At 45.2% G+C, this 22,802-nt stretch overlaps 2 annotated features.

Moving 5' to 3' along the window:
* Positions 12,586-13,085: an enhancer, noted in NCBI's record as "H3K4me1 hESC enhancer chr4:152945037-152945536 (GRCh37/hg19 assembly coordinates)". NCBI's record gives its function as "activates a minimal SCP1, AML or CMV promoter by ChIP-STARR-seq in naive H9 embryonic stem cells {active_cell/tissue: H9 hESC(naive)}" and the evidence as "EXISTENCE:reporter gene assay evidence [ECO:0000049][PMID:30033119]".
* Positions 22,418-22,577: an enhancer, noted in NCBI's record as "active region_22025". NCBI's record gives its function as "activates an Ori minimal core promoter by ATAC-STARR-seq in GM12878 lymphoblastoid cells {active_cell/tissue: GM12878}" and the evidence as "EXISTENCE:reporter gene assay evidence [ECO:0000049][PMID:35858748]".

Genomic DNA, 22,802 nt, shown 5'->3' with positions numbered 1-22,802 from the left:
AACCAGTCAATGTGTAGAGCCAGTAAAATTGGCATCGAAGGAAAGAAAGAGAAAGGAACAAGCAGACATAAGATAACTGAGAAACACACATTTGGGAAACAAATGGATCAAGAACAGGCTTTGGAGCCAGTCAGGTCTGAGTCAGAATCTTGGCTCCACCAATCCCTGGCTATGTGACCTTGGTATATCCTGTAGTTATTTTCAGATTCCATTTCAAATCACTAAAATGATATACTAATGCCTCACTTGCAAGATTATTCAATTTGTGATAAAATAGATGAAAGGTCTAGCACAGTGCCTGGCATCTTGCAATGCCAATGTGTGGTAATTGTCACTTTTATTTAAAATCACTGGGGATTTCCACTAACACTTGGCATGTCTCAGTTGTAAATTAAGTAGAGGACCTCCCAAAGTGAGAAAACATAATTTCTTAAAGTGAAATCAGCAATCAGCTCAGCAGTATTTATGAAGTGTCTTTTGGTAGATATCACTGGCGTGGACTCGGGGCGGGTTGTTGGAAAGCAGGATGTACTATGGAGCGTATTTTTTTCAACAATGGTGAGAAAATAAAAATGCAAATTAAAATGAAAACAGAACTAAAAAAACTTATTTTCAAAACACTAAGCTAGGCCTCCATGGAAAAAGAAAATGAAATCACCAACTTGGTTTGGCTCCAAAGGCAAACTATAAATGAACACAGGTATCCAATCATCACCAAGGGTTGATCATCTAACGATGCACTAGAGCAAGGTGTAGTTAATGTAATGCAAGCTGCTGTAACAGACAACCCCCCAAAGTCCAAAAGGCTTAACACAGTAAATGTTCCCTTCTTGTTGCATAAAGTCTAACAAACTGAGCATGGGATGGATGGAAAGGACCTCTCTGCTCCATGTAGTCACACAGCTCCCAAAATGAGCAAGTCTCTGCCATCTACAACAAGTGGCTTCCAATGCTGCCCTGGCATTCACATCCAGCCTACAGCTGGGGAAGCAAGACAGAATTGAATGTGGTAAGTTTTCATGGGTCAGGCCTGGAGAACACACATATTACTTTTGCCTCCACATTTCTTGGCTGAAATTGAATCACACCTAACTGCAAAGGAGGCTGGGAAAACAATCTCTTTGCATTCTTAGGAAGAAATGGAAATCGGTGTTTGGAACAACAATTGATCTGCCATGCAGGGCACTTGCAAACTCCAGGAGCACTCCCCGCAGTGTTTGGGAAACCTAAGACCTGCTCTTCCTTGCCTTCATTCTTAAAACTCATCTCAAGTATCTAGTCCCCAGGTTCATGGTGCTCAGGCATATTTCACACAGCACAGTAATGAAATAGAGGAAAATAAAATATTGGGGGGGAAAGATAACAAGGACTCTAAAAGGGAAAAAAATCAAATAAAATTTACACTAAGAGGGAAAAATAGACATCCACCTTTTCTGCTCACATAAGACTGAAGATGAAGGCCGTGTAAAAGAAACTGAGTCAGGATTCACGCCACTGCACTGGCAGATTTTGTCATGTTTTGACAGAGCTAAATTTAAGCCAGACCTTGCTTCTTATGCAAAAAAAGAGTGTTTGATTGATTACTTTGGTGTTATGATTCCTGAACGTTGTGACTCGAGCCTACATTGCCAAATAATACCATTCGTAATGATCTTATCTTGTTCTGGGAGATCTTAGTTCTTAGAGTTTATTGACTTCAGAGGTATGGCATCCTTCATCAGCATCTCTGAACCAAGCACGCACTATTCTCATTGGTCTGTCATTGGGCCACTGCTTCTACTGGGCCCCATGTGACTCAGTCCAAAAGAGGCTGAGGCCCTTGTGTCCTGTCTCACCGTCCACATCCTTCTACCTTCCTGCAAAAACTGCTTTGAGGATTATGTCATCTAAGCTTCCAATTTTTTTCATAACAACCCACAATAAGAAATGCATTTTACATTTTGACCCAGTATGCACACACACATACACACACACACAATTAAAACAAAGGTTTCTCAAACATTCTTTTTGTTAAGAATGATGCATTGGGCCGGGCACCGTGGCTCATGCCTGTAATCCAAGCACTTAGGGAGGCTGAGGTGGGCAGATCACAAGGTCAGGAGTTCGAGACCAGCCTGGCCAAAATGGTGACACCCCATCTCTACTAAAAATACAAAAATTAGCCAATTAGCCGGGCATGGTGGTGCACTCCTATAGTCTCAGCTACTTGGGAGGCTGAGGCAGAAGAATTGCTTGAACCCAGGAGGCGGAGGTTGCAGTGAGCTGAGATCATGCCACTGCACTCCAGCCTGGGGGACAGAGGGAGACTCCATCACAAAAAAAAAAAAAATGCATTGATAATTTCTATTTTGTTCTATTTCCTTCCACTAAAAAACAAACAAATGCTCCTTGGGACCCACTAAATTGTTTGATTGTTTGGGCAAACCCCCTTCAGTTGGTTGCCATGGCTGTGGTCTATCACTAGCCTACCATTTTTTTTTTTCCTTTTGAGATGGAGTCTTACTCTGTCACCTAGGCTGGAGTGCAGTGGCACAATCTCAGCTCACTGCAACCTCTGCCTCCTGGGTTCAAGCAATTCTCGTGCCTCAGCCTCCCAAGTAGCTGGGATTACAGGTGCATTCCACCACGCCTTGCTAATTTTTGTATTTTTAGTAGAAACGGGGTTTTACCATATTGGTCAGGCTGGTCTTGAACTCCTGACCTCAGCTGATTCACCCACCTCAGCCTCCCAAAGTGCTGGGATTACAAGTGTGAGCCACCGTGCCCAGCCATGTCACTAGCCTACCTTAATGGAATTATTTCTTCTCTTCTTGAAGCCAGTGAACATCACCTCTGCTCCACTTTACCCATCTTCTCCTAAAACCACACCCTTGGCTTTTCTCTGCTTCACCTTTCAAATTCATAACTCCCATATTTCACCTGGACCTCAGTCTCCTTTTCTCCCAGCTGTCCCCCAACCCTCTTTCTCCACCTTGCCCATACTTCAGGCTTATCAGGAACTTCAGACCTCTACTCTTCCATTGCTCCCCTTATCAGAATCTTCCTGGTTTTGCTTCCTCATTAGTCTACACAGGCCCCATGATCGCAGCCTCCTGATCTGCCCACCAGTTTACCACTTGGCATAAGACATTTTGGTTCTGTCCTCCAGCTAACCGAGCCTGCAGCTTGGCCATCAGCCCAATGGGTCGGCCCAGAAAGTGTACACATTCGTGTCAGGACCAGGCTTATCATTTAGGGATGACGTCTACCCTGATTCACCACTAGTCATTTATTCCTTAGCCCACTGTAATCTTCCTACATCCAATCCCTCTGCACTACCTTATAGACTGTGACAAGTACGCATACTTTTTTAGTCCTTATTTTACCCTCTCTGCAGCCTCTGAAATCACTGACCTCCTTCAAAAACTCCCCCCTCTACTTTGATGCCTACCTTGTCCCTAGCTCTCCTTCTTTCTCTCTCACCACTCTTTTTCAAGCTTCTTCATAAATTCCTCCTCTTTTCTCTACCCCTTAACTGCTGGTGTCCTGGAATTTCTCCTCTTCTCATCATACTCTGCAACATCCCTGGTCAAACCCGTCCACACCCATGATTTCCACTACCATCTCTATGATGATGATTCTCATAAATGTACCCTAAGTCCTCATCGCTTTGTGGGGTTCTTATCTATTGTCTGCTGTACAACCCCCCACATCCTGGATGTCTCGTACACCCTTTCAAACTCAAATGCCCCAAACTGAAGTGAATCTTTCTCCCTACTTAATGCTTTCCCATGCTTCCTCATTGCATTTAGAAGAAAATCAATAATTATTGCTATGGTCTTCAAGGCTCTGGGGTTTAAGTGACCTAGCCTCTAGCTCCCTTCTCTGCCTCATCATCTAGATTCCTCATGACTCACTCTGCACAAGCCAAGCTGGCGTCCTTGCTATTCTTCCAGTAAGTCAAGGATGCTTTTTTCACAGTGCTTTGGCCTGGTTGTTCTCTCTGCCTGTAATGCTATTGCCTCAGATCAGACAGCCACAAACCTCTCTCCTTCACTTCACTTAGGTTTTTGCAGACATGTCAGCTGCTCACAGAAGCTTCTCTGATCAGCCTATCTAAAATACTACCCCCATCACTGTCACTCTCCATCCCCTTACCCTGCTTTATTTCTCTTCAAAGCAATTATCACCTCCTTCCATGAATGTGTTCATTGTCTGTTTACCATTCCTGGAATATGTTTCTTTATTTAGCTGAATCCTTGGCACCTAGAACAGTTCTTGAAACAGAGTGAGGGCTTAATAAATAATTGAATGAATAAATAATTTATCTCCTCCCCCTCTCCTTCCTCAGCCTCAAACTCTGCTTTCTCCAGGGTTCTAGGTAAAAGATACATTATTCTCCCAGTCATGGCTCAAACCAGAAGCCTGGCCTTTGGTCTCGTCTCCTCCCTCTCCTCTCCCCACACATCCCATCTGTCACACTCCCAGTGACTCTTTCTAAATCTCTCTCCCATTGCATTTGATTCACCATCCTCACTGCCATGGCCTTAGTTCAGTGTCATGGATCCCCCTGAATTTTGATGAAAGCTATGTATTCACTTTTCAGGAAAACACACACAAATACATTTTCACACAAAAATTTCTAGATTCTCCAAAGCCCAGTGAGACCCTGTGATGGTTAATATTGAGTGTCAACTTGATTGGATTGAAGGATGCAAAGTATTGTTTCTGGGTGTGTTTGTGAAAGTGTTGCCAAAGGAAATTAACATTTGAGTCAGTGGACTGGGAGAGGCAGACCAACCCTCAATCTGGGTGGGCACCATCTAATCAGCTGCCAGCACAGCTAAGATAAAAGGAGGCAGAGGAATTTGGAAGGACTAGACTGGCCTAATGTGGAAGGAGTAGATTGGTCTGAGTCTTTCGGCCTTCCTCTTTCTCCCATGCTGGATGCTTCCTTCCCTAGAACATCAGACTCCAAGTTCTTGAGCTTTTGGACTCTTGGACTTAACAACAGTTAAGACTGAAGGCTGCACAGTAGACTTCGCTACTTTTGGGGTTTGGGGACTGACTTCCTTGCTTCTCAACTTGCTGACAGCTTATTGTGGGACTTCACCCGTGATCATGTGAGTCAATACTCCTTAATAAACTCCCTTCATATATACATCTCTCCTATTGGTTCTGTCCCTCTAGAGAACCCTGACTAATACAGACCCCCTTCTCTGGGTGCTTCTTTGTCCAAGGATAAAAATCTCTGGCTCAAGCTTCATTATGTCTCACCTGGATACCTATAACAGGTATCCCTGCCACTCACCCTACCCCTCTTTTGATCTGTTCTCCACAGGAGCTGTCCAAGTAATATTTTAACAGAGCAGGTTTGTTCATGGTCTTTCGCGTGTCCTCTGTAACACCTGTCAGTGGTTCTCCATCACCTTAAGAATAAATGCCTGAATCATCTATGTGGTAACACAGTGCTGCTATCCCCCAGCCTCAGCCCCTTTGCACTCGTATCCACACTTGGCTGAAATCATTCTGAAAGGCCACTCTTTCAGATCTCTGTGCCTTTGAACATGGTGGTCCTTTACCCTTTCTGAGTCCTCACCTACCATCTGCTTGGCTACCTGCCACTCATCTTCCCCCAAACAGCTCAAGGGTTATCATGAAAGTACTCCCTGATCTCCTGGGGCTTAGGGGCCTCTCCTCAGATCACATCGTATTGTGATCATCATTTTGTCAGTTCCTTTGCCAGGAGGTGCATCATTGAGGCTGTCTTGTTAATATCTGTGGCACATAGTAGGTGCTCAGTAAAGGTATGTTGAATGACTGAATGGAATATTCAGGTGAAAGGACAGAGAGGTGATAGCAGCACATCTTGGATTCCTATAAATGGGGCAGTTGTAGCCAACAAGGCTTCCAAAATAGGAAAATCCATATTTACAGGGGAGATAAACTGGACAGTTCTTCCATTTACAAAAAGGATTCACCAAAAGGGACCTCTAAATAGCAGGTGCTTTAACTGTTCTGTGTAAGTGTTTGTTTACTGATCATTAATCATTTCACAAAGAGGCCAACGGCTAAAGTGTGGCCAATCAGAGCCTTTAGAACAGAATCACGAGGCTTCTGAAGCTACTCTGCAAGTTAACAGGAAGAAGCATTTGATGTTAAACTATTCAATTAACACATAATTTTTCAGGAACAAGCCAGAGAGAAAAAGAGGGAGGGAAGACAGAAGAGAAAGAAAAGGAGAACAGAAGCAAGTTTTGAGAAGTTCAGCTTCATGAGCCAGGACCTGCCTTTAAGCACGGACATCTCCACTCTTTAGCGAGAGAGCAGGGGTCCACATGATTAGAGACTTGTAATTAGGCCCTTACAGTGCTTGGTGAAGGCAAAGCTCTTGATTGATAGAGAAGACAGGGATACAAAAAGATCTCGTTTTGGCCATCATTGTGCAATAACAACTTGGATGGATTCACTCTGGCACAAACAAAACTTTAGTTCATTCATCTCTTCACCAAGTATCAATTTATCACCTGGGACACTTCAGGCCCTACGCTAGCCACCAGAGATGAAATGCTGACCAAAGCCAGGGCAATCTCTTGCTTGCAAGAATCTTGTCTTTTAGAGGCAGGAAGCAAGCAATCGATCATCACAAAAACAATTGCCGTGGAGAAAGTGGTGGTAATGGAGTAAGAAGATGCTGCGACGGTGTGGGTGGGGACACCAGAAGCTGCTGTAGAAAGGGAAGGCAGGCGAGGCCTCTCTGAAAGAGTATCATCTGAGCTAAGCCTCATGGGTGAGACTAAGCCAGGTGCAGAAAGACCTGGAAAAGGGACCATTAACATCTAAAGCATTTTGGAGGAAAAGATCTAAGCATATTCTAGAAACAAAAAGGAAGCCACGGTGCCTGGAGTTCAATGGAGAGGCAAGGGTTGAATGAGGTTCGGGGCCAGACTTTGAAGGGCTTTATAAAACCTGTAAGGACAGGGGAACTATTCTAAATGCAAGGGGAGGCCGCTGAAGGAATTTCGTCAGGAGATGATAAGATAGATTTACTCACGAGTAATTATTCTGGTGGCTGTGTGGAGAACAGGGTACAGGGGAAGAAAAAAGGAACTAGAGCATCAGTTAGGTGGCTATTGCACAAGTCCAAGCAGCAGAGCGTGGTAACTTTGACCAGGATGGCAGCAGTGAGGGCATAGAGGTGGACAGATTCTAGACCTAGAACTAACGTGGGGTGCAGAACTGTTGTGAATGGTGACACGAGAGCTCTCCCTAAGGTCCTGGCAGACATTCTGAGACTGTTACCCATGCACCATGGCTATCAGAGTGGAGCTCTCTGTGGAGGAGATCTGCTAGGCCTCAAAGTTTGGCAGAACTATGCTTGGGTCATTTTGTGGTCATCACAGGCCCAAAATTTTGGGGTGATAATTCTTGTAAACCAATCACTTGGGAAACCCAGAAGAAATCCATTCTGTATGTTCTAAAAGTTCCTGGTCTCAGGGCTGGCTCCACTGCATCCTCCCTCCTGCCCTTGGCCATGGGCACTCCCTTGGGATCCCCTGTTTCAGGAATGGCATCGCTGGTCCAGCCAGAAAAGACAAATCATCTTTGACAACTCAGCTACCAACTGACCAAAGTCAGGTTGGTTGTTCACAATTACGATCTATTTGGTAGCTAATGGGATCTTCCAACTGTTAGAGGAAGGGAAGGACTACAGGTCTGCTCCTAGCAACCTCATAATCAAAGCAAGCCTCAGACCAGATTTTGCCTCACACAGAGACATTTACTGGCAAACGAGTACAAAAGGGTCACACAAGCAGATCTGTGAGCTCAATGGAATCCCAGCTCCCTATCACGTGGGCACACAAATGCACCTCACACAAAAGGTTCACCTTGCAGGCAATGGGACCATATTCCGCGGCAGGATTCAGTTAATCTAGGCCAATGTTCTCCACTGGAACAGATTCTGTCCCCCCGGATTTTGCCCTCCAGGCAATCTCTGGTGCTATTTTTGTTTTCACAACCGGGGAAATGCTACTCCTATCTAGTGAGTAGAGGCCAGGGATGCTGTTAAAGGTCCTATGGTGCATTTGGTCTGTCCCCAGGGACTATATGCTCTTCTTCCTAAACAGGTATAGAACCAATCTCTCTCCTCTTCTCCCTTCTACTCTCCTAGTCTGGGGCTTCAGCACTTGAGACAAAGCCTTCTTCCCACCAGCCTTCCAGCCCTCTGGAATTCTCCAATCTCCAACCCCGCCATCAGACTCATCTTCCCAAACCAGGGGTGGTGCAGAATTTTTCTAAATTCTCCAGTGGCTTCTCAATGCACACAAAATGTAAATCTCTGCTTCCTCTCCCACCTCTTGCCCTTGGGCATTTTGTTTCAGCCTCTTGCAGTTGCGTTAATACACCAGGTGCTCCTAAAGCTCTGTGGCTTTGCACCTGCTGTTCCTCCTGCCCGTGTCTCATACTCTCTCCTTGGTCTCCCGCTCTTGAGCCTCAACTCAAATACTGCCTCACCCTTTGGCTCCACTGGATTGGCTTTGGAGCTCCTGATCAACCTTGCTCTGCTCTGGACACATCTCCATTGAAGCAGATGTCACAGGTGTCTTTTTGTATTGCAACCATTTATTTGCATGTCTGCCTCCCTCCTGGACTCTAATGCTTTTACAATGGGGTTTGTGTCTAGCTCACTGAGCCCAGCCTGCTCTGCTACACAGCAAGCAGCAGCTAAACATTTGTTCAATGAATGGTCACTTTCAATGCCCTGGGTTGCCTATTTTTGACTTGTTTGTTTTGTTTAGTTTTTTTTTTTTTTAACAGATTTTAGATACTTAGAATTTTCAGAGGATATGAAGTGATACAAAGGAGATAGTTATGGCTGTGGTTTTCCAATCTCAGTGTGCCTAAGAATCATCTTGGGGACTTATTTCAAATACAGATCCCCAGGTAATTTTGAAGAAAATTAATTCATTTTAAGAAACTGAGATAAATTTCACATGTCATAAAATTCACCTTTTGAAGTGTACAATCCAGTGGTTTTAGTATATTCACAAAATTATGCAACCATCACCGCTATCTAATTCCAGGACATTTTTATCACTCCAAGAAGAAACTCACATTCATTAACAGTCACTTCCCATTGCTCCTTCCCCTCAGTCCTTGGAAACTACTAAACTGCTTTCTGGTCTCTATGCATTTGTCTATTCTGAATATTTCCTAGTAATGGAATCGTATAATATATGGTCTTTTGTGACTTGCTTCTTTCATTGAGCATAATGTTTTCAAGGTTCATCCATGGTGTACCATGGATCAGTACATCATTCTTCTTTATAGACTGCATAATACTCCATTGTATGGATCTATACTGCATTTTGTTTATCCATTCATCAGGTGACAGACATTTAGATTGTTTCCACTTTTTGGATATTACAAATAATGCTGATACAAACATTTAGAGTGAGTTTTTGTGTGGACTTGTGTTTCCAGTTCAATGGTATATAGCCAAGAGAGTGGAAATTGCTAGGTTATTTGCTAACTCTATGCTTAACTTTTTGAGGAGCTGCTCAAACTGTCTTCTGCAGCAGCTGAAACATTTTGCATTCCCACCAACAATGTATGAGGGTTTCAACTTCCTTGCATCCTCATTAACACTTGTTATTGTCCATCTCTTTCATTATAGCTACCCTAGTAGGTGGGAAGGGAATATCCCTCCGTGATTTTGATATGCATTTTCCTAATGACTGGTTGTGTTGAGCATCTTTTCATGTGCTTATTGTCCATTTGTATATGTTCTTTGGAGAAACGTTTATTCAAGTGCTTTGCCCATTTTTTTTATTGGGTTGTGTGTTTTTTGTTGTTACTGAGTTTTAGGTGCTCTTTATATGTTCTGGATGTTAATCTCATACCAGATATATTATTTGCAAATATTTTATCTCATTCTGTGAGTTATCTTTTAACTCTCTTGATAGTGTCTTTTGATGGACATGAGCTTTTAATTTTGATGAAGTCCAATTTATCTATTTCTCTTTTGTTTCTTGAGCACTTCATATTATATCTAAGAAACCATTGCCTAATTCAAAGACATGAAGATTTATGTCTGTGTTTTTTCCTAAGAGTTTTATAGTTTTAGCTCTTACATTTAGGTTACTGATCCATTTTGAGTTAATTTTTCTATATGGTGTGAGGTGGGGGGGTCCAACTTCATTCTTTTGCATGTGAACAACCTATTATTCTAGCACCACTTGTTGAAAAGAATGATCACTTTAGATAGTCCTGACTCCCTTGTAGAAAATCAATTCACTGTAAATATCAAGGCTGATTTCTGGACTCTCACTTCTATTCTACTTATCTATATATCTATCCTTATGCCAGTATGACACACTCAGGTGCCAAGGAACCACTCTTAGGAAAAAAAAAACCCTGTCCTAAATTATAATTGCTGTAAAAAGGAGCTAACCCAGACCAATGGTTCCCAGCCAGACTGAACATCAGAATCATCACAGGGTCTTGAAAAAAACCCTGACCCCCTAGATCTCCTTCTCCCCAGCTCCCCCCTCCCCCCGGGGTTTGATTCGGTAGAATGGTAACAAGGCTCAGGACTTACTGTTTTTAAAGAACCCTCTGGTGACCATCCAGAATTGGCAATTACTGGTCCAAGTGATCATATAAAGTCTTCTCCAACATAAGAGACCTATCATGTTGGGAAAAGAGAAAATATAAGGTGAAAGTTTGACCCAAAAACATCTTAAATGAGCATTCTATGAGCATTTGGTTGACAGAAGGCCATCTCTTTGATGAAAAAATGTGAAGATGATCTGTGAAAAACAATAAAAGTAGAAGGACCAGTGTAGCTCCAAGATGTCTAGATTGGGGAGGAGATAAACCACATTTCAGTGTTCATCTGTGGGACCCACCCCAAGGCCGGCACAGCATCCTCCACACTGCTCCCATAAACCCTGTGCTCTGTTGGTGGCGTGTCTGTCTCCCTACTGGATTCTGAGTCTTTTTTAGCAGACATGGGATCTTTTCCTCTTTGGATCCTCAATCCCCATCACTGTGCCTGGCCCATCACAGGTGTTCAACAAAATGTCAAATTAAATGAAACATTTTCTATGTTTAGTCAAATGCATAGCAAATGCATAGGTCAAATAGCAGGCTTTATGTAAAAATGCTAGGTATGTGGTGCTTTAAAAACAGAAGTGGAAGAGAATTAAGCAATGGGATTTAGAAGATCATTTTTTAAAATGTGATTATTTTTGAACCTCTGTCCCCACCCACCTGCCTACCAACTGTATTCCTCAGGGTCCCAGCAGGAAACAGATGGCTCACCAGCATTGAATGAAGAAACTGTTTGCAGAGGAGTGGGCAGAAATAAGAGGACACCAAGGAGTGAAGCCCCTGGGACTAGCAACAGTGAGGTGTCCTAGCCATCCTTAGGCCTGAAGGGACAAAGGGACAGAGCAGGGTGACCAGAACCTACCAAGATTTGGAACCTTACAAAATGGCTTCCCAGAAGACAATAGCCATAGCCAGAAAATAAGCAGAAAATTCCTCTGGAAGGACAAGCGGAGAATAACCAGCACACTCACCCATAAAGGACAGGAAGATATGGACAGATTCAACAAAGAAAGTAGGGTGCTGAGGTACAGCAAATCAGTTACACTTCTTAGTCTGTGGTTTGTCTGACTTTCTGGGGATGTTGTGCTTTCATTAATTCATTCATCAAACACTTATTGAGTTTTTTCATGCTTTGCACATTATTTTGGGCACTAGAGCTACAAGGATAAATAAGACACCTTTTCTGCCTTTAGGAAGTTCACACTGGGGAGTGGTGAACATGGACAGGCAGGTCATTACAATAAAACACAAACCACAATGATGGGTGTGTCTGTTTCCTAGGGCTGCTGTCACAGAGTACCACATGCTGGTGGCTTCACAATAGAAGTGTATTGTCTCCCATTTCTGGAGGCCAGAGCTTCCTTTTAAGAGCTGCCAGGGAAGGCTCTGTTCCAGGCCCCCCACAACTTCTGGAGGTTTGTGGGTCATCTCTGGTGTTCCTTGGCTTGTGGAAGCATTATCCCTCCTCTGGCTTTATCTTCCCATGGTGCTTTTGTAGGTCTGTGTGGGTCTGTGTCCTAATTTCTCCTTTTTATAAGAACACTAGTCATATTGGATTAGGGCCCACTCTACTGCAATAGGACCTCATCTTAACTAATTGCATCTGCAATGATTCTATTTCCAAATAAGGTCAGTCTGAGGTTCTGAGGTTAGGACTTCAATACACTAATTTTGGAAACAGAATTCAATCCATAACATAGGGGATAGGCTCAGGGCATTATAGGAGCATTTACAAGATGGTCAGGGAGGAGTGATGAAGAGGGTACAACTTACCTGGTGTTAAGGATGAATAAGGTTCCACCAAGTGAAGAGATGAGTGGGCAGGGAGGAGGAGGACAAGCCACTTTGCGCTGAGGGGAAAACCAGAGCCAGCACCGGTGATTTGGCACTGCAGGTGCAGAAAGCACAAGGCTGCGGAGAAGGAGCAGCAGCTCTGGCCCCAGAAGACCTCCCACGATCTGCATAGAGTCCAGACTTAAGGAGGTGGTAGAGGGACGATGAAAAGGTTTGAAGCAGGGACTTGGCAAGACCAGTTTCATTGTTCAGAGGGGTCACTCCAGCAGCTAGGAAGAAGATGGTAAGGCCTGCAAACAAGGCAAACATCCAGGCAGCTGTGGATGGAGGTAAGATAACAGGGAGAGAGGGAGACCTTTAGGAGATACTTAGGAGAGAGATTTGGGAGGACATGGCAATTGAGTGGATGCGTGTAGCGAGCGGGTAGTGCGGTAGCAGCACCCCCACCCCTGCAGGGGGCCACAGTGCCGTTTAGCAAGGTGGGGAGAGTGGGCAGTTTAACAGGAAAATGACTGTGCTCCCACTGCCATTTTGGGAGTGCTGGCTTTGTGTTGCCTATGGGAAAAGCTAGGGCAAAGAGTTCCATTGGAGACAGGGATTTGAGAGTAATTTGCATGTCCCACGAGAGAGGATGAGCTTCTCCAGGGAGTGTGTGTGGCAGCACAAGAGGAACAGTGAGTTAGAAGAGAATCCTGGGGAACACCAATAGGCACGCAGCAGGCGCGGGCCGGGAAGACGGGCCCCTGCAGACAGGCAGTGCAGAATCGAGAACATAGCATATGGAAGTTCAGGGCTCAGGAAGCTTCAAAGAAGGAAAACCATGTTTTCAAATGCCACAGAAAGTCTTAGTCAGGAAAGGATTGAAACGAGTCTATTCAATTTGTTATCAGGGAAGTTGGCGGTCACCTCAGTGACAGCAGTTTTAGGAGTATGGTGGGTGGGAACAGAAGCCAGATTCCAGAGAGCTGAAGGGCGAACGGACGTGTAGGCAGCAGGAAGTTTGGAAGAGAATGGGAGGAGGGAAGCTGAGCAACAGCGAAAGGGAGATACGGGGCACAAAACTCAAGTATAGTCAAGGGAGATTAAAGCAATTTTAAAAAATGACTATCAAAGTCTGGAGTAGACATCAAAGGATAGAGCAAAGGACACGAAAGAAAGAGGAACACACCTCAGAGACTGAAGGTGAGGATGGGGTAGGTGCAGAGGTGTTTGTAGGAAGGAGGTAGAAAGTTGAGGGACATTGGGCCTGATGGCCTTGATGTTGGAGACAGGTTTATGTGCTAAGTATGAGACAGAAGGTTGAGTAGGAGCTTTGGGGAGAGTGCTAGAATGCTTGGAATGGTCACCTAGGGGCAGAGGAGAGGAAGCTCTTCCAGGACAGCTGGGGAGATGGGCAGCCCTGAAGCCCAGCAGAGGTCAGGGGCCATGAACTTGTAGTGGCCTGGCCTATGCAGTAGAGTCCATTTCCCCGGGAGTACTCAGTCTCAGAGACGGAGCAAGACAAAGGTTGACAGGTTGGAATTTTGCTTTGTGAGTGTCTGGTGAGACTGGATGAGCCACTGAGTCCAGAATAAAGAGAGAGAGGGCAGGCAGAGCCTGATGAATGGGGAGAAGAGGGAGAGGTCACTGGATATGAGCACCGAGAGAGCATGAAGGATGCACGGATGTCGTAGAAAAGCAACACACTTGTCCTGCTTTCGATTTTGCTGTGTGTGAGATACAAGTAAACAGCCAATTTTCACACTAAAGAGTATGTAACTTTGCAAATAGCTTGTACAAAAGCATTAAAGCTGAGTTAAAAGGGCAAGTATGCATTTCAGCTACACTGGTCCCACAGTGACATCACTAGTTATGATTGTAGGGGTGGTAACTGTTTAGAAAATAAAGGGAGGGGCCATTCAATATTTCTTATCTTTATCCAAATCTGAAGTATTTCAGCCCTATTGCAAGACAGTACCCTGTAACAGATAGCTGCCTCTCTCCAAGAATAATAAAGCCCCGCTTTGCAGGGAGAGGCTGTGGATGAAGAGCAGTAGGCGGAGGGCTCCAAGGAGTTTCCAGCTGTATTTTCTGAGCTTGCTAAGCATTTAATCAATGGCAAGGAACATCTCAGTTGTCCAGATACAGTCATCCCACGCGAGGTGCACGGAGACCAGTGTTCTGATATGCAAAGAGAGCCTGGGACTCTCATCAAATCACCAAACAGGATGCTGGCCATGCAGCAAACAGGCCTGCAAGCTGTTGGCAGCTGAATGTCGGGCTGCCAGAGCCAGGCCCAGCCACATGATGGGCATGGCCCCAAAGGCTTGGTGGCAATCTGTATTCCAATGCATGCCCTCCACCATGCTGCTGACCCTCTGCCAAGCGGGGCCCACGCTCAGGATCTAGAGACGCTGTTGTTGCAATGCATACAGGCCTCTTTGTTCAAAAATACTGTATGCATGAGAGAAAGCAGCTTCCTTTGGTTCTTTCCCCATGGCCTGGAAAGAAAGGCTTCACAGTCAAGCTGCCCAGCTGACCAGCATTGGGCAAAGGGGCGGGAGGGGAACTTGCTGAAAGCTAGCTGGTTGTAGTACATCTAAAAATGGAGCTTGAAGGGGTTTGGCTGGGACTGTGGCAACCTCACTCAGGTGTCATCCAGGCCTGTGTTGGGCTGGCAGGGGGCCCTTGGAAGCCCTTGCTAATTAAATGTATTGAGAAAGTGGCTTTGACAGGGAAGGCTCTGTCAACACTGCCACTTTGGTGCAATCTTTTCAAATGACAAGGAGCCTCTTCCTTTATGTGCAGAAAGAGCTGAAGAGCAGGATAGATTCAAAATGAGGTGCACGAGCAGTTGAGTAATTACCATTTTCTTCTGTGGCTGCTCCACCTGCCCTGAAGTGATCTTCTATCAGCTGAAGGACACTCTACTGTCCAATTCAGGGGCATGCTCTCTCTGCCTCCAACTTTACCACCAGAAAACTTGGAAGTCACATGAGTAAGAGGGACCCAGTGGCGAAGATGTCCTCAGATCATTCTTCACTTGAGAAAAATACCTAGATGGTCACTTCGCAGGCCTCAAGCAGTGCTGACAAATGGGCTCCACTTAAACCAAGGGGAGAACAGTTTCCATTCGCAATGGAGTGCCATTACCCTTTACTAAAACAAAACATTTTTTTATCCTAAAGAAATTATTTCCTTATTTGTTGACTCCAGAAAGCTATTGAGTAGTTCCAAATGTTGGCTGCACAGCTAAGCTCCTGTTGGGTGATTTGCAGTTTCCCAGCAAGGTCAAAAGGAATTCCCTGGGTTCCTGGAAATAGGTACCCGTGGTACCCACAAGCTAGGGCGAAGCTAGAATGATGGAGAGAGATGGCAGGGACAAGCTTGATGGGTCTTGGGGGCATATGCTTTCCCCAGGCCTGGACCTGCATCAGTGCTGGCTCCCATGAGCTTCTTCCAAGTGGAAAAGAAGTCTTGTGATCAGCCTCGAGTGTGATTCCTTTTATGGCACTCCAGCACCTAGTACAGCACACAGCAGGGACCTAGCAAATTTTTAATAGATGGATAGATGTTTCACTTTTTTTCAGGGACTAGGAAGAACTGTTTCTTTGAATTTTGGCTCTATCAGCTTTGTTTGGGTGTAAGACAAGGACATGCATCTTTTGAAAGGTTCCCAAATCTAGATATTCCTAATATATCACTGCTCCCTGCAGCTCAGCAGGGCACCCCTTCCCTGCCACTAAGGAAAGACCACCAAAGCTGAATTCAGCCTTGCTAAATTAAGCATCCCTGAAGCTCACTCTACTCCAAGTGAATTCTGGTTGTTGACATTTGAGCCAAAAGACTTAAGGAGGTGCACTCCAGTTAATCCAGTGCCTCTAATTGTTCTTCCTGATTTCCAAGAGCATGTAAAATTTTCTAGAGATCTAGCCCACTCTTACCTTTTCACCTTTTCCTTCAGACTGACCTCCTCCATGCTTCCCACCTTACATTTATTCACTCAATGTTTATTCAAGGCATATTGAGCATCTGACACTACAGGTTACTAGGGACATCAAATGGCTAAGACCCGTCCTATGAGTTTACAGACCACTGGAACTGGGAGAAATGCAGATACTCAGTGTTGGTCTTGACACACGATCATGTCCATGGAGTTACAGTGGTGGGGGCAGGGCATGGTGAAGGAAAGTCAGACTTAATTTTTGTATTTGGGAAGATTGGTTTAGTGGCGTAATCATACCACCTTTAATTTATATTTGCAGTTTATGAAGGCTTTCCTTTCCTTTCCTTTCCTTTCCTTTCCTTTCCTTTCCTTTCCTTTCCTTTCCTTTCCTTTCCTTTTTCCTTTCCTTTCTTCCCTCTCTCTCTCTGTCTCTCTTTTTTTTAGACAGAATCCTACTCTGTCACCCAGGCTGGAATGCAGTGCCACAATCTTATTGCAGCCTCGACCTCCCAGGCTCAGGTGGTACTCCCACCTCAGCCTCCTGAGTAGCTGGGACTACAGATGCGTGTCACCGTGACTGGCTAATTTTTGTATTTTTTGTAGAGACAGGGTTTCACCATGTTGCCCAGGCTGGTCAGGAACTCCTGGGATCAAGCTATCTGCCTACCTCAGCCTCTCAAAGTGCTGGGATTATGGGGATGAGTCACTGCATCTGGCCAAGAGTTTTCTGATACATTATCTCTTTAATCTTCACAATAATCCTGTGAGATCAGGGATTACAGCTTTGTTTTACGAATAAGGAAACTGAGGCAGAAATTAGTGACTACTCAAAATCCCAGGGTCAATAGCGGGTTTGAACTCAGGATGTCTGCCAGTAGCCCTGGCCCCTCCTACTCCACCAAGCAGCCTTCCCAGCAGGCTGGCAGCTCCTCCTCCCCTGCAGGTGGGAATGGAGGTGAGGAGAGCACTCCTAAGGGGGCTAGGCAACTTATCCAAAGCCCGTGCCTACCACCCCACCTACTTCCTTTGCCCACAGCTGCTTGTCTCTTCGTTTTTCAGTTTCCAAACTGTAAAAAAAGAAATAAAATAGTTATGAAAGTGTTCTGTTCCTTCCTTAATGAACCCACCTGCTGGCTATTGCCTGAAATTCCTTTAAAGAGGCACAAATCCCTTCATTCTGCAGGTATAAATAAAAAGTTTAAGATGCAAATACCTGGAAGCCTCAACACACAGATATAAATAAGTTCCACTCAAGTTTAAATGATAATAGAATATCTATCCTGCCTTTTCTGAGGTGGAAGGCAGAAATAGAAATTACCGGTATTGTATAGCCTTTATAATTCCAAAGCAGTTTTACCATAATCTCATTAATTCTATAAATATTCTATGTATAATCTACATATAATCTATATCTATATCTATAGAGACAGCATCTAATAGGTGCTAGGCATTGTGTTGCCTGCTAGGGATGGAGTGGGAACCAAAACAGACATAGTGCCTTCCCCCATGGAGCTGAGTCAAGTGAGAAACACAAAAACATAGGTAAATAAATGACACCAGGCTTGGTGCTATGGAAGAGAACAGAGCAAAGAAGGGCCGTTCCAGGGTAGGGGGGAAAAAGTCATACCTTTTCTTCATCCATCAGTCATACAATCATGACTGACAATTCTGATAATGAAAGAGTGTAACACAAGGAAAGCACAACAAACTTACTTAACAAAGTTTTATGTGACATGAAGTCTTCAGAAATGAAGACCCAAAAACCGAAAGAAAGTTACATTTTTATGTAAGGTCTGAAGAAAAAAGTGCATGGTTATGAAGAAATACGATTGGACAAAAAAGGGTCTGATCTAATGGGAATGAACTGAGGGGCAGTGGAGGTCTGCAGGGCCTGTTTGTCCAGAGTCTTTTCTGTGTCTCTGTAAGACATGCCTCCCCGCAAGGTATGGGGCAGGACACCTGTCACAGGAGGGCTTTCAGCAGGGAAGGGAGAAGGTCAAAGACCTTCCTAGGTTTATGACTTGCTTTGAGATGAAGAATTCTAGTTTCTGTGCCTTGTTTGAGGGAGAAAGCAGGATAGGAGAAGGTCAGAGTGACCTTGTTTCCGAGGCCCTTGTAATCTCTGTCAGTTCAAAGTACCCAGCATACCAAGGAGCCATACTCTGGGGTATCATGTTCTGAACCCTGATATCAGGCAGAGGGAACCACATAGTCAGAGGCTCTGAGATGAGTGTGAGCACGTGAAAGGCCTGAAGGCACCCAGGAGCAGGGAGGCAGTGGAGGAGAGCAGGGATGGGTGGGTAAGGGCAGGACTGCACTGAGGAAGTCCTAGGAAATCATGGTTAAGGACTTTGAGACTTGAGCCCAAACTTAAAGGGCAGTGGAAAACATGCAAGAGCTTTAGAGCAAGAGGGATAACAATATGATCTTTAGCCTTAAAAAAATGTGAACTTTCCTGCAGGCTGAGGAATGGATTGGGAGACAACAAGAATGCGGCCATTGCAGTCATCCAGGCCAGAAGGGACAAGTGCTTGGACTAAGATGGAGAAGTGGAGGTGGGAGGATAGATGATTCCAGAGATACTATAATCTTATAAAACTCGTAAGATGTATTAATGAGATAAGGAAGAGGGAGAGTCAAGATGACTTTAGTTCCTTACACTCATTGGAGCAATTGGGAGACAGAAGGGCCAGCAGAAAAGAACAGGCTTTGGAGGGAAGAAGATGAATTCAGTTTGGGGCATGTGGGGTTTCAGTCTGCATAAATGTGGAAGTGGATAGAGATCCTGTGACATTTTCGCTCTTTAGTGGCTGAAATTGCCTTCTCTGACCCATGGGACTCGGCCAAGTCAACCTCCAGCCCATTCCTTCTAGTCCGGCCCCCTCTGCTGTCTCCCCTGAACCCACCAAACACAACACCGTAATACAGTAACATGAAAATGAATGTTCCCCAGGTCTTCAGTGTTCCTCCTCTGTGCGTTCCTCATTTCCTGGCAAAAGAGGAGTGGGAGAAGCCAATTTCTGCAATTTGCACATTGGAGACATTCTTATTTACCAGATACCACCAGAAAGCTGATCACTGATTCCCAGCAGCCTGTTGCAAACGCATATACCACATGTGGAACTCCAGCTCCTTCAGTAGGAGAGGCGAAAGGACAGCCCACCTCCGTGCTCATCAGCCTGGCTGATGGGATGAAAGCTGCTATTGAAACAGCCCCAGCTTTCGAAAGGCAAATAAAAGTAAACCTCTGCAAGAGAAGCGATGCAGATGAAAACCCACTTCAAGACTCCTTATGCTCTCTATAGTTCATTTTTTCCAAATCCTTTCATTGATTATGTTGTCTTAAAAGAGAGAGAGAACAGAAGTCCTTCGAAGTACCTGAGCTATGCCTGCTATGATTTTTCCTTTCTGGGCAAGTTTTTAGTCGATAGACAGAAAAGGGCCTTTTTCAAGCTATGCTCAGCCTGGAAAATGCTTGCCAAACTATTCTCCGGAAATCCCACCTCACTGACATTTTTCTGCATTCTAACCTGTCTGCTTCTAAAATGCTTGGAACTCTGTAGATAGAAGCATGGCAGATTTTCCCTTCAGGGTAAATGAAGGCCAATGGAGTGAGCTTTTAGGAGCAAGAGAGGAAACTCCTGTCTCTCCTCCTCCCCTAACCCATGCCTCCTCTTCCTCCTTCGCTTCCTTTAATGATTAACAAATATAAAGGCCACAATTAGAGATGTGTTAAATACCTTGGAGGAGAAGTAAGAGAGTGGGTGGGGCTTGATCTCTCAATAAAATTAAACAGGTGTCTTGGCCATTGTCCTCTAGAAAAGCAGGGACTGGGCAAGGAGACAGGTGGTAAAGGTCAAAGGGAAGTGAGGAAGGTCAAGGTGAGAAGTGATTCCACAGGAGGCGCTTTCACTCTGGGCCATACTAGCCAGGAGGACAGCTAGGGGCTTAGCAGATATCTTTACTTGGTACGAGGGACTTCTTCAGAATAACTGCAAGGAGAAGCACACCTCATCTCCCAGAATAGTGCACAGGAGGGAGAAAGGAGAGGAATCTGTCAGGCTCCCTCCTGTCTCTCCTCTCTCATTTGTCAAGTTTCCTCCCAAAGGGAGCTACTCCCCCATACTTCCAGATTATGTAATTCAGTCCCTCGTCTCAGGCAGCCAGATCCCACACCTTACATGGTGGTGTTTTATTCAGCTCCGAAAGTGGCGGGGCAGGAAGCCCAATCTCTCTCTCCGACTGCAAAACCTCATCGAAGTAGTCCTTGTACCTACCATGATCATCCTGAATAAAGTCTGCCTTACCATCTGTCTGAGTCCATTTTCTGCTGCTATAACAGAATACCACAGATGGGGTAACTTATAAAGAATAGAAGTTTATTTGGCTCACGGCTCTGGAGGCTGAGGAGACCAAGAGCACAGCGTCGGCATCTGATGAGGGTGGAAGGCATCACATGGTGAGCAAGCGCGCGAGACAGAGAGAAAATAGGGGCTGAAGTTACCATGTAACCAGGAGCCCACGCCCACAATGACTAATCCACCCCCACGATAAAGGCATCCCTCTAAGCCATTCAGGAGGGCAGAGCCCTCATGGTGGCCTAATCACCTCTTGAAAGTCCTATCTCTTAATTCTGTTATAATGGCAATTAAATTTCAACATGATTTTTAGAGGGGACATGCAAACCATAGCACTATCTTTTTCTGAAAAAAAAAAAAGTGGAGAGGGAAAGCAGAACAGGTGGGGACACTAACAAAAAGAGAAAGAGACGGAGGAGGAAGAGGAGTAGGAGGCTGCAGCCAAGGAAATCTGAAAAGGAACATAAGATCTATGTCTCAGTATAATCAATGACATCATCTTCTTTCCATATACTAGGTTTTAGTAGGAGAGGAAGGAAAAACACAAAGGAGCAGCTGGGTGGGGTATGGCCAACAAGGAGGTGTAGGGAGCACAGTGAGTGTGCCCAGAAGGAAAGGACCAAGGGCACAGGGTTGGCTGTGCATGGGCATTTTGCATCTCAGGAACCCGGGGCCACTGAAGAAGGCTGAGGGCGGGAGCACAGGGCGTCAGGATCCCCACTGCTGGGAGTTAAGCTCTCAGAGAAGCACACAGGCACTTTCACACAGAGGAGAGTGCATGTGAAGCCGGTTGCCATGACTGGTGATGAGGAATGCTGGTCTGTGCCCTAACCTACCTGCCGAGGCCAGCAGAGATGTCAAGATGGTGCCTGATGATGTCCTGTCTCTCTAGTTGGTCCTAGAGTGAGGAAAGTGGTAGGTATAAAACTGAACAGCCCCATTTCCTAAAACAAGTGCAGGGCCAGGCCCTCTCCTTGGCAGAGAAGAACTCAGGGCCTCCTTGAATGATGTTGCATGTTCCGCTCTGCCTTGCCTGGCTGCAGGAACACCACCACTTCCCTCCCGGGCCTCATGCCTGAGAGGGCCTTGTTAGCAGAGCACCCGCATAGGGGGCAGCACTTTCAAGGTCCCCCTGTTAGCTACCTGTTGGCCTCTTGGGAGTAAGTTCATTGGCTTTTCCCTAGCAGAGCCCCGTGAATGCTACAGAGGACATCCAAGGCCTCCTGGACTTTGCACTGGACCCCAAGAGTTAGTTACAAGGAAGCCAGAGGGCTTGGGCAAGATCTTGCTATCCAGTTAAACTGGGCTGTGGTGTTTTAGACCTCCCAAGGCTAGACCTTGGTTGTAACAAATAAACACTATTCATGTGACATTCTACAGTGTGCAAAATGCTTTCAGCTTCACTGGTGCTTGTTTTTTAGTAATGGCCCTGTGAAGTTGCTGATGAGCAATCTAGACTAAAGAGGTTGTTAAGAGGAGTTCCTAAGGTCATATAGCTGATAAAGACTTGAGCTCACATCTTTTATTCCTGAATTCTCTTCCAGTGCTGTGTTAGAAACCTAAAGAGGAGCCTGAGGGAGGAGACTGCATTAATGCAATTATTCTAATTTAGAGACATAGGTCTGAATTCTTGCATCTAAGGTAGCAACCAAGAGCGTTTTAGGCCCTGGTCTTCAGGTGGCACCCACCCTGCACTATCTTGGGCAACAGCCATGAAATCCTCCAAATCATGCATTTGCATTTCTCAGTTATCACCCCTCCCACCTGGACTATTTTGAGAAGGAAAGCAGCAAGCACTTCCCAGTCTGCTTCTCTCTGTTTCTCTTTCTCTTTCTTTCTCTCTCCAACCCCCAGCCCCGCCCCTGCCACCACAAATGCCACTTACAGAGGCTCCGTTTAATAGTATCCATCAGCCTCCCAGCTGGGGGCAGAGATAAGGGTGCAGTAGTTACTCCCCTATGCTCTTCTTCAGGGTTTGAGGGTGTCACTATCACTTCAATTTGGGAGCCCTTCACACAAAGACATGTGTGCTCAATTACCAGTTCCTAGTGTGGAGAGAGGAGGGGAAATCAACTCTGGCACCCAGCCCAACCATGCGTCTCTTTTACCTGTAAGGATCTCTTCTCCCT

This window comes from Homo sapiens, chromosome 4 (genome assembly GCF_000001405.40).
Source record: "Homo sapiens chromosome 4, GRCh38.p14 Primary Assembly".
Classification (NCBI taxonomy): domain Eukaryota; kingdom Metazoa; phylum Chordata; class Mammalia; order Primates; family Hominidae; genus Homo; species Homo sapiens.
This window is presented reverse-complemented; position numbering and strand designations above follow the sequence as displayed.